Raw genomic sequence first — 13,020 nt, forward strand, 5'->3', positions numbered from 1 at the left:
AGTGACATCATCTCCTGCTTTTCACCCACCTCATTGGCCACTTGTACTCAGTCTTGACATTGCTTTTCAACCTGTAAAAGTTCTTCAGTATCTACATTAATTCTGTAGGTATCACATCCAGTTCCATGGCCTCTGAGCCATCTGTACATGTATTTTTAGTTTTAATTTAATTTTTTTTTTTTTGAGACGGTCTCACTCTGTCACCCAGGCTGGAGTGCAGTGGTGTGATCATAGCTCACTGCAGCCTTTACCTCCTGGGCTCAAGGGATCCTCTTATATCAGCCTCCCAGCTAGCTGGGACTGCAGGTACACACACCATGCCTAATTTTTTCAAGAATTTTTTGTAGAGACAGGGTCTCACTTTGTTGCCCAGGCTGGTCTTGATTGCCTGAGCTCAAACGATCCTCTCACCTCAGGCTCTCGAAGTGCTGGGATTACAAGCATGAGCCACTGTGTCCAACCTAATTTTAATTCTAGTGCTGGTTTCTGTATTGGTCTCCAGATTTGTGTATCCAGTGACTTAGCTGACACCCACCCTTAAATGTTTGATGCGTATCTAAAGTTTGAAATGTCCCAAAACTAAACTTTGGATAACTGCCCCTTGCTTCAAAACAACAAGAGGAAACTCTTCTTCTCTCTTATTATCGTTTCACTACATGTAACCACCATTCACCTAATTGTTTATGCCCAATTTTTGAGAATCATACTTTCTTTCTGTCATGACTACATCTAATCCCTAAATTAATCCTGTCCACTCTATCTTTAAAAAAAAATGTTTTTAATCTAGAATTCAGACAAGAAAGAGTGGCTCATGCCTGTAATCTGAGCACTTTGGGAGGCTTAGGTGGGAGGATCACTCAAGCCCAGGAGTTTGAGACCAGCCTGGGCAACAGAGTGAGACCCCATCTCTACAAAAAAAAAAAAAAAAAAAAAATTAGCCTGATGTGGTGGTGTGCACCTGTAGTCCCAGGTACTCAGGAGGCTAAGGTGGGAGGATCGCGTGAGCCCAGTAGGTATAGGCTGCAGTGAACTGTGATCACACCACTGCACTCCAGCCTGGGTGACAGAGTGAGACCCTGTTTCAAAAAAATAAAATAAAAAATCCAGAATTCAGTTATCACTACTCCATGACTCCTGTTATAGTCCAACCCCAGCATTCTGTCTTGCCTGAGCCGTTGGGAGCCTCTCAGTAGGCCTCCCTAATTTTACTCTTGCCCCACTACGGTCTATTCCATACACAGGACCCAGCTGCTTTCAAGTTGAAAGCAGTCTGCATCACTGTCCTCCACATAACCTTCCACAAGTTTCTCATGACACTTAGAATAAAACCCCACATTTAAAAGGCCCAGCATGATCCATCCCGCAGCTACCTCTGTGACTTCATGTCCTACCACTCTGCCTTGTTCACTGCCATCCGGCCACACTGGACGTTTTGCTGTCCCTCAGAGATCCCAGGCAGGCTCCTGCCTCAGGGCCCTTTGTGCTTCTCCCACAGATACTCACACGATTCTCTTTCATCTCACTCAAGTCTTTGTTCAAATGTCACCTTCTGCAGAGTCCTTCCCTGTCTGTCACTTTCTAGGATCTTACCCTGCTTTATTTTTCTTCACAGCACTTAGTGCCACTTGATACATTTGTTTATTTGGTTTGTATGTCCCAACTAGAAGATAAGCTTCAGAAGAGCATAGACTTTTGTAAATCTGCACTTAAAATAGGGCCTGGTACACAGCAGGCACTCAGTAAATACGAAATGAATAATAGGATCATTCAGCTAATAGGTGCTCGAGCTAGAACTGAAACCTGGCTGTTCTCTTGTCTGTCTCCCTTCCTCCCTCCTTCCATCTCTTTCGCTCATGCCATTCAATAGTCCTCCCGCTTTTGGGAAGGGGATATAGAAGTGTTCGGACTATTCAATTAAAGATTCAGTAGGTTAATGGATTTTTTTTAACACCTCTTTGACCACATAAACATCTGTTTCTGTTATTTACTTCTTTATTGCTGATCCCCTGACCATCAAACAATCAGCACTTTTTACCTTCCCTAGGTAGAAGACGGCTACATGCATTAAGTAACATCATTTTGCTCATTTATAGGAAGCTAAGACTGTCTCCTATTTTGGTCTGCCATCCAAAATACATTATACCAAAAGCAAAATGAGATTAAATTTCCCTACATGACACAACTTAATTTGAAATTCAGCAGAACAGAAAAAAATGTGCTTTAAATCAAAGAGAATTTGGATTTTATACTCTTCTGATTATAGGACAGGAAATAGCTAACTACTTTGAAGACTGTTTTGATTAAACTGATGTTAATGAATTTTAAAATATCTTTATTAAATTAATTTCTTAATTTAACAGTTATTGTATGCTTTCCATTAAAAGAAATGACTTATTTTTATGCAGTACAGGATATAAAAAGTTTGAAAACAATTTTTAATAATTGCATTAACACAAAGCTTCTAGTTATAGAAGTGTTTCTCAATCCATATTCATAAATAATGGGTACCTTGGAATTATTTTTAATTAAATCAAGGATGTGTATAAAGCAAAGAAATAGAATTCTAGATGGCACTGTGCCATCCTTGTTCTTTGATGGACATTAGCAAGTGGGAAAAGGCTTCATTCACTTGGTTACACTTTGAAATAAGTGGCCAATCATTATTAATTCATTTTGCACTCATTGTAATGGCATAAATCATCATAAATTCATTTGGTTTAAAGTGCATATAATATATTCTCCCATAGGAATTTGGTTGTAATTGAGCTACTAATTAAAGTATTTTTAAAATATGACCTTTTTCCCCTTCTTCACTATTCAGATCCAGCAACCTGCAGTGGCTATGTCTTCATTGATGATTTTCTTTTAAGTATGAGGAATGAAATTGTCTTAACTAGGCCAGTTGACTAGCCTAGGGGGGACCAAAGCCCGAGAAAGTAGTTATTTGTGTTTCCTACCAGCAGACAGCAGTAATACTCATGAATTATCCCTCAGGGGTGTTTGAAAAATTCTCTAAAACTCTCTGGTTTTGTAATAATTCTATTAAGAAAATGTTATTCTCCCTAGTAAACATGGTTTGACTCGTTTTAATTTCTAATCCTAAAAACTCCTCTCTCTGGCCAATGGTCTTCTGTTAGCATTGGTTGCCATTCAATCCAAGTTCCCTTGCCTCTAGCGAGGGACCCTTTGTCATGGAGGAGTTCTCCCCTCCTCCTTTCTGTGTACCATCCGTCCACATTTTCCTCCGTCAGCCTCCTCAGTAATCCACTGCCTGTCACTGTCTTCTAATGGGTGTACTGGCGGTTTATGGGGGCTTATGATGGCTGGTTCTAGAAACTTCCTGCGGGTAACTGCAGATTCCTATGAGGTCTTTGGGTTTAAGGGAAACATCAATGGAAAACTTAGACAAAATTTTTTTTATTATATTTTAAGTTCTAGGGTACATGTGCACAACGTGCAGTTTTGTTACACAGGTATACGTGTGCCATGTTGGTGTGCTGTACCCATTAACTCGTCATTTACATTAGGTATATCTCCTAATGCTATCCCTCCCCCCTCCCGCCACCCCACGACAGGTCCCGGTGTGTGATGTTCCCCTTCCTGTGTCCAAGTGTTCTCATTGTTCAATTCCCACCTATGAGTGAGAACATGCGGTGTTTGGTTTTCTGTCCTTGCGATAGTTTGCTCAGAATGATGGTTTCCAGCTTCATCCATATCCCTACAAAGGACATGAACTCATCCTTTTTTATGGCTGCATAGTATTCCATGGTGTATATGTGCCACATTTTCTTAATCCGGAACTTAGACAAAAATTTAAAAAAGGAAATAAAAATTACAAATGGAAGGCTGGGAACGACGTCACTAGTTTTACAACTTTTAAAATCCTTAATTATCTTGTGCCATTTCTGCACAAATGGAAACTATTTTTTAAAAAAACTGCATGATTAATATCTCAGTTGCATCTGTGGTTATAAGAAAATAAAGGTGTGAGGCACCTCTGGTATTGTATTAGTATACACCACTGGCATTTTACTGTTTGTGTGTATGTGTGTATGTGTTTTAAATGAATAAAATAATTGTAGTGATTAAAAGAAGTCCGTGTTCTGTTTGGGAGGCCCGAGGCAGGTAGATCATGAGGTCAGGAGTTCCAGACCAGCCTGGCCAACATGGTGAAACCCCCTCTCTACTAAAGATACCAAAAATTAGCCGGGCGTGGTGGCTCACGCCTGTAATCCCAGTACTTTGGGAGGCCGAGGCAGGCGGATCATGAGGTTAGGAGTTCGAGACCAGCCTGGCCAACATGGTGAAACCCTGTCTGTACTAAAGATACAAAAAATTAGCCAGGCATGGTGGTGCATGCCTGTAATCCCAGCTACTTGGGAATCTGAGACAGGAGAATCACTTGAACCCGGGAGACAGATGTTGCAGTGAGCCGAGATCATGCCGTTGCACTCCAGCCTGGGCGACAGGGTGACATTCCGTCTCAAAAAAAAAAAATTCCGCGTTCTGTGTGTCTGTTGTGTATGTGCTGTGAACTGAAGGTCCTACTATCAGGTGTAGTCCCTACCCTTGTTCTAAAGATGTAAGAGAGGAAAAGTGAAATAGCAATATAAAAGTGTTATTTATCAAACAAATTATGCTGAAAATGATACGTGATGCTTATAAAAATATGTAACTATATTTCTTTATAGTTAATGATGTGTTTTCCTATAACAGGCATTCAATAAATGTAGCGTGCGTTAATAAATTGAGTCTGTGCTTTGTGATAGGGATAAATAAATGTTCCAAAAAAGAAATTCATTAAGCAATTCTAAGTAATAAGAGAGAACAAATGTGTGTGCATGCATGTGTGTGGGTGTGTGTTATGGCTTTTAAAAGGGCTAGCCATTATACGTAGCCAGATACTACAAAAGTTTTAAACATTGGCATTTTTCACTGGTCGGTTCATGATTGAACAATATTCATCTTGCTGGAGCAACAAGTTACCCATAGTATAATACTGTCATCTATTTAGCCACAGCTTACATAGGCTTTATTTTGCGCTCTCTGCCTCAGTCCTTTTCTCCTTTTTAGCATTTTGCTGTTACAGCAAAGTGTAAATATTTTCTGGCAGCTTTGCTCTTTCATATCACCTCATAGCACCTTTAAAAAAAAAGTACAATTAAAGTTGGGACTCTTAAGAAATGTAAAAATTTGATATGAATTAATAGCATTAAAATATGAGCTATTATTATTCTTGACAGCATAACAGAATTCATTTCTCAACAGCCAGAGGGTCTAAGTTGTGATGTATCCAATGCTGGATTTTAAGTGTTTTCTGCTTTTTAAAGGATTTTGTTTCATTTTGATTTGTCTTCTAGTGTTCTGAGTCTGTCTGCATTTCGGTAGTTTATTTGTACATTTGGCCTGACATAACAGAGGTGGTGCTGAGATGTTACACACTAAATTCTCACTATAAAGCTGCTGCAGTATCTGTACTGCTCACCTAGCTTATAGGTAAGAAACACCACTGATTTGATAACTTAATCTTGAAGATGGCCCCAGATTGACATGAATAATGCTGAATTCCATCTTGTAACAAGTTGAGTTAGGAGTCTCTTGACATTCTCAATAAAGAGTCAGTGACTAGTAAAAGGTCTTACTGTTTGTGTTACTTATATAGAGAAGGTGCTCTTTAGTTCCCCCAGGATAGTAAATTTATTACAAATGGCAATGATTTCTAGTCTTTTGGATATCATAGACTAGTAAAATTTCTAAAAATAAAATGTGAGGGCATGTATTAGTACTATTTCAATTTTTTTATTTTGTTTTTTATAAACATTAGAGAATACCACTCTATTAAAAAAATGTATTCACCAAAAAAAGTGGTAAGAAAATCACCTCACCGAAATAGTAAGACCATACCGCAGAATAAGCACTCCTTTACATTGAATAAATATAGCTTTATGAAAAAACTTAGTACATTGTTTATATTTTTCATATTTCACCATACAACTGGAAACTTTGCCATTGTCCAAGACAAGTTTGTAGCAGACTCTTAGAAATTTCTGACCTGTGCATAATTTTGACTGTGCTAGGCACATATGGTATAAAGTAATTTTCAACATTTACCAAAGCAACAATTATATATTAAGTTCTTATTGAGTATAAAGCACTGTGCTAAGCCTTAGGCCAAACATAAAAGTGTTTTTCTTGAATGTCATTTGGCCCAGGGAACTTAACCTGTTTAGCAAGTGTGAAAGGTAAATTAATAAATAAATAAAAATAGCTTTAAGCAATAGAATAAATGCCAAAAGATAGTATATTTGTGTTTGTTCACTGTGTGTGCAGTATTTGCTATATTAAAAGGAAAAATTTCATTCTAACATAAGCAGGGAAGATGCAGTAGAAATTGGTAGCTACCTACCCCATTCAATTCTCCCCTTCCAGGTCACAAAGCCTCAGTTTTGTTGAAACTGGCAATATGTACAGCTGACAAACTGCATTTCCCATCCTCCCTGGAAAATAGGGAATTATTATATGGTATAATTCTGGCCAATGAAATATGTAATTAGACCTTAAAAGGAGCTGGACTTAACTGACACATGTCCTTTTGTCCTTCACCCTCCTCCCACTTCCTGCCTGGGAAGTGGATGCTGTGCTGGATGTGGAATTAACCATTTTGTGGCCATGATGCAACTAAGTTAGAGCAAAGACAATTACAGGAACCTTGGTATTGTTATCTGTTGCATCAGTGACAAAAACTCATTGTTTGAGAAAAGATAAAACATTACTTCATCTTCTGTTTTGGGGAGATGCTCGTTAACTCAGCTGAAATTATTTCTGAAGGAGGAGAAAGTGGACTTGGGATTGGTTGTAGATGTAGTTCTGAATCCATAGTTGGTAGTGTCATGAATACAGCATGTTCACAAGGATATAAATTGTGTACTAGTTATTACACATTGTTGGGGCCACAGAGACCTCAATTCCTTACCCAGAGCTACACCTAACCACTTGTCCTCCATGGTTCTGTTATCTCATAGAACATAGAAATATACCAGATTTTTCTAAAGGTCTTTCCATTCAGAAATTCTATGATTCTAATTAATCCCATTTGGCTGGGGATGAGAAGATCAGAATTAAAAGGGCATTTGCCCTTTTCTAATCACATGACACCTCAAATACTGATTTTTTAAAAATGAAATGTGATCAGATCTCTCCTTTGCTTAAAACTTTGTAATGGTTTTTTATTATCACCAGAATAAACAAATTCCTTAGCGTGGCATATAAGGCCCTTTGTCCTGGAGCTGTAATAACCTGTCTTGCCTTTTGTTTCACTGTTACACTTCATCCCCCCGCCCTCTTCTCCCCTTCACCTATTTATCCCTTCCCCAACCATACATACACACAGTTTCTAGCCATGTTTTACTACATGTAACCCCTTGATCTTGCCATGTTCCCTCTTATTTCCTGGTCTTTACACATGCTCTTTCCTCTGCCTGGAATGTTTTCTTTCCCTTCTCCTTTAACTGGCTAATTCCTACTTATTTTTAAGGTTGTGGCATAAAGATCACCTTCCCCTGGAAGCCTTCTTATAGCCCCCAAGATGAGGTTAAGTGCCTCTGTTAAGCTCTGTCTTGATAGCTTGTGCTTATAAAAATTATAACACAATGCACAATATATTCAGATTGCCTGTTTGCTCCTGTTTCCTGAATTGTAATAAATTTCCTTAAGGGAAGAAACTGAGTCTTATTCTCTTTTTTTCCCTAGCACATAGTAGAGTATAGCAATTTGCAATTCATAGGTATTACATGAATCTTTGAGTTGATGGGTTGGCACCAAATGCGAAAATCCTTGACTGAATGCCAGGCCAGTTAGCTGAACTTTTTAATACCGTCACTGGAGAACCTTTAAGAAGGGATTGGTGTTGATGCTCAATGGTAGCATCATTCCCCACCTTGCCCTCTCAGTGAGATACTGTGGAATAGTGGTCCATTTATATCAAATAAGGAAATATTTATTTTCTACAAAATTAGATTCTATCTTATACAGATTAAAGTATACAACTTTTATTCAATACCAACTGTTTAAGAAAAATTATGGGAGGCAAAATTCATAAAATTCTGTCATGAGACTTTATCAAAAGGGAAGACCTATCATTATCTTAATTTCAGCATTTGGTCCTCTTTGATCCATGTTGCAGAGCACCTGTGTCATATGGAATTATAAATTAGAAAACCCCTAAATTAGAGAATACAATATAAGTTAAGAAAGGAATAAATTTAGCTATATCTTTCTATTATATAATATTTTTTAAAGGCTGGTTTCTTAATATCAGCATAAAGAATAGATGATTAAGAAGTTTGAAGTCTTAGGCATCCCAGATTATTCCTGCAGAACATCATTGTCATTAATGCTAGTAGCAGAAAAGTAGTATGCTTCCTATTAATCAACAAGGCTAGAAATCAAAAGGTTTAACTTGAATATCCTTTTTCACTTCTGTTATTTACATGTTTTATTTGGGAAAAGTTGTTAGAGATAGACAGGGAGTTTTAACATTTGTACATCTTTGTAATTCCAAAACAGCTCCCTGAAAAACAGGAAACATCATACTCTTACCAGTAGATTTGAAATTTGTGTGTAGAGTAGCCCATTTTCCTCTCTCCTTTTAATGCCCTCACATGGCCTGCCAGAGCTGTAAAAACTGCCCTGCCAAAACTGTAGGGATCTTTACTTTATGTTACTTGGAGACTATAATTTGAACTAAAGAAGGAGAGATGCTATAGGGGAATTTTACTTATGAGATCGTTGAGTGAAATAGAACATGATTTAAGAGAAGGGATGCTGGTGCTCTAGGGGCCCTGTGTTTTCTGCTGAGCCACACATTCTCACAGTGAGGCCATGCTTGACAGAGGAGCAGCAGGCACTCTTGTGGCCCTTGTAGAGCCAGGGTCTTCTGAAAGGAGGGTCTTTTGAAAGGAGGTAGAAAAGGAGAACGCTTTTCTGTCATTTCATCCAAGTGCAAGTGATCAGTTCCCCTGTGCTGTCCTTCCCACTTTGTCAGAACAGTGATGGAAAATATCAAAACATCGACCACTTATTGTTTATTTTCACTCTCAGGAAAAAATTGTCCAGAGCGGTGAGGAAGCTTCCTCTAGAGCTCCCAACACAGAGGCCCTTAGGAATCAGTCAGGCCTCTAGTGTTGCCTGTATGCTCCCATCTGTAATGAATACAAAAATGGTAAAGTGCCACTAAGGAAAATGACTGAAATGCTGTAAAAGATTGTACTTAGGAAACTTTACCTCCTTTTGCAATATTTAGCAAGGATTCACCTCCAGGGACCCTTATTGCTTAGATTGGAAGCCATGGCTGCTGGTGTTTCAGGATGTCTGCAGAGAATAGCAGCTGGAGTTTTTCTGTAGCTCTTATGACTTCCAAGAAGTAAAAAATAAACAGGAAAATGGTAGATAACTAGACATTTTGAAATATCATTCTGACAAACTGGGGCAGGGAGCTGTATTAGAAATATTCTGACAGTAAAGGCAGACCTATTTTTCATTTATGTAAATAATGTGTGCACTGTGGTTGGTGGTTTAGAAGATGCAAAGTTATGTGAAACACAGTTTCTACCCTCAAGGAGCTGACAGACTTACTGAGGAAAAGGGAAATGCTCATATTTAAAAATATGAGCATTTCATGTGATAAAAGGACACGTATGTGCTGGCAGAAAATAGAAAAATGTGTGTTACCTTTTTTAAAGGAGTTTAATATTTTTCTGATCCAAAAGTAAAACATGAAGCTTTACATATTATAATTATATGGTTAAATACAAAAGTAAAATTTACAAATACACATACGAAATATGAATTTTGGGATGTTTAGTTTACTGCAGGAATTGTTAATCTACAATCCATGGCCGCCTTGACATTCTTCTGCAGAATTTGATGGGTATGACTGTGTGTGTAGTTTCCTGGGGAAAGGACTGATGGCTTTCATCAGATTCTTAAAGGGTTCCATGACTGAGAAGAAATTCAGAATCACTACTTTTCAGTGTATCCACTGACTCTTATCCTGGCTTTACAATACTCTTCCCTTCTCTTCCTTTCCATTTCAATCCATTCTCATTTAACAATTGACTATAATATAAAAATTATTATATACTTTTGTTGGTTGGATATGTTGTATTAAAGTTTATATGCCATTTTCTTCATTTAGAAAAGAGCCATGTTTAATAGGTATTCAGAATAAGCTCAGTAGTATGAGAAAAGTCAGGCTCAGTGAGTACCTTCCTAGGCCTGCCCCCGATAAGTTATGGAACCGTGGTTAATTCCCTGTCTTAAACCTGAAGCATGTGTTCCTTTTAATCAGTATACTGTACTGTTCTGTGACTTAGGAACTATTTTCTTTCTTCCCCTCAAAAAAACAAACAAACAAAAACTCTTCTAAATTACAATTGGCTTTTCGTAACCCCTGCTGGTTTTCTTTTTTAAATGTCAAAATGCCTTCTGAAGTAGATAAAGTTTTGTGGCTTAATAGCCACTAGACGTAAGTATACAAATTGTCAGCATCATCGTCAACATAAAGGAATACATGTTCATTAAGATCTAGGTCATCTTACCAGATTTAGAAATAATATTGAACTATTAACACGTTTAACAAAATCATATGAAGAGCTTACCACACACTTGACATCATTGTACTATATCAGTACATACACCAGAATATAGAGGAAAATAGATGCTTTAGGAAGGAAGCTTTTTCAAACTACATGTTCTACATTCTCCATCCTTCATTGCAACGCGCCTGTAATGAGAGGTGTTACTGAGGGGGAGTATTTTACATATGAACTGTGTTAGATGCAGAAGAAAGGTTAAGAAGTACCACATTACATTATTTGAAACCATCTCCACTTTGCAGAACCCTGAGTTAGGGAGAAACATTGTTTGGAATTTAAGATCACTGATATGTTTTGAAATTATATATACTCATTTACGTACAATATGTAATTAAAACACTTTAGAATATGGTATAAAACAATATAGCCTAACTTTTCTCTTCAAAGAATGTGGCTGAGCAAACCATTTATCCAAGATCTTGTGTAGTCTTGAGGTTCAATACCTTTTTCAGTTAAAAAATCAAAAATGGATTATATTTTGAAAGTATGCTTCAAAAGAAACAATTACAAAAGTAAAATTCCCCTTTTGCTCTGCATTTTATTCTATAATTTCAGGCAAGGCACTGACGTTTCTTCTGCTACAGCCTCCAAGCCCCAAACTTCCTCCACACAGCACTATCCGAAGAACAGCCATTGATCTGATTGGACGTGGGTTCACTGTTTGGGAGCCTTACATGGATGTGTCCGCTGTTCTGATGGGGCTTCTCGAACTTTGTGCCGATGCCGAGAAACAACTTGCCAAGTATGTGTGGATTCCGGTTAATTTAATTTGTCACTGTTTTTTGTTTTAGGGGTTTTTTTGGTGGGTTTATTGATCATTCTGTATAGATTGTGCATGTTTAATAGATAAAAAATACACAAATGTTTCAATATGTGAAGTTTTGAATATGGACAATGAAAAGGAAGCATGTTTCTATAATTTTAACACAATCGGGATTTAGCCCTGAGCCAGTGAATGATATGTGACATAGTTTTCCAATTGTATTTGTTATACCGTGAAGTATTACTCACTAATAATAGTATAATATTGTTAATAAGGAAAATGATATATATATTAAATACATGATACTTGATCAGAAATGATTATGGCCAGCATACGTGGCCAAATTGGGGAATTGCTCCTCCACACTCATATTAGCTTTTAAATCAACTACGTTGAGGTTTCACTTAAACACAGTAAAGGACCAGCCATGAGGAGGTGGCAGTGATCCAGGGAAGCAATGATGAGAGAGTTCTACAAGAGGAAGATGAACTGAGGGAGCTGCTAAAGTCAAATAGGTGGGAAACACACGTGGTGACCAACTGACTAGGATTGATGGGGCAGGGGGTCCTATTGGTGGTGGAGATTACTGTTGGTTTGAAAACTCAATCTCCTGATTCCTGCAAAGAGTTCTTTTGTTTCCTTTTGGTGTATAATACACATATCATGAAATTTACCACTGTAGCCATCTTAAAGTCTATAATTCAGTGGCATTAAGTATAATCACAGTGTTGTGCAACTGTTACCACTATTTAGTCCCCACAGAAGTCACCCTGAATGGAAGCCCCATGCCCATTAAGCAGTCCTCCCCTGTTACCACTTCAACAGGCCCTGGCAACCATTAATCTTCTGTCTCTGTGAATTTGCCTATTCTGCATATCTCATATAAACAGAACCATACAAACTGTGGTCCTTTGTGACTGGCTTCTTCACTGACATGATGTCTTTCAAGGTCCATTCATGTTGTGGCATATCATAGTGCTTTGTTGCTCTTTATGGCTGAATAACATTCCATTCATGGTTATATCACATATAGTTAATCCATTTACCTGTTGATGGACATTTGGGTTGTTTCTGCCTTTTGGCTATTGTGAATGTAGCTGCTATAAACATTTGTGCATAAGTATTTGAACACCTGTTTTCATTTGAGTAGACATGTAGGAGTAGAATTTCTGGGTCATCTGATAATTCCATGTTTAACTTATTGAGGAACCACCAGACTGTTTTCCCACCAGCAGTGCACAACAGTTCCATTTTCTCTACAGCCTCGCCAACACTTGTTTTTTTCTTTCTTTCTCTCTTTTTTATTTTTTTAGTATAATCATCCCAGTGGGTATGAAGTGGTTGGAATTCTTGAACTGTCCCATAATGCCTCCCTTAACGAAAATGTTACCACCACTTGGATTTTCTCAATGAATGGTGTTTCATTCTTGTCCTTGCTAACTTTTTTTAAGAGTAGAGTTCTTAGCCCTTTGCTTTGCCATTCCCTTAAGTTCTGGCATGCTTTGGGTCCATAGTTGTCTACTGACTGCTCTATGCTCAGGAAGTAGAGACCAGAGAAGCAATTGAAGGCTAGAATGGAACTCTGTGGCTTTGTCTACAGAT

At 37.9% G+C, this 13,020-nt stretch overlaps 1 protein-coding gene across 11 annotated transcripts in view; it reads left to right on the forward strand.

Annotated features, from left to right (window-relative positions):
* The window catches only part of WDR7 (WD repeat domain 7), a 385,248-nt gene that overhangs the window by 261,353 nt on the left and 110,875 nt on the right, over window positions 1-13,020 (forward strand). For all 11 annotated transcript variants that reach the window (XR_007066131.1, XR_007066132.1, XR_007066133.1 and 8 more), the window contains one exon: window positions 11,211-11,397. Coding sequence is in view for 7 of the 11 variants with exons in the window: in NM_015285.3 (NP_056100.2) it covers window positions 11,211-11,397 (187 nt within the window). In the remaining 4 variants the exon portion in view is untranslated. The remainder of the gene's footprint in view (window positions 1-11,210; window positions 11,398-13,020) is intronic.

The sequence above is a fragment of the Homo sapiens genome, chromosome 18, assembly GCF_000001405.40.
Source record: "Homo sapiens chromosome 18, GRCh38.p14 Primary Assembly".
Classification (NCBI taxonomy): domain Eukaryota; kingdom Metazoa; phylum Chordata; class Mammalia; order Primates; family Hominidae; genus Homo; species Homo sapiens.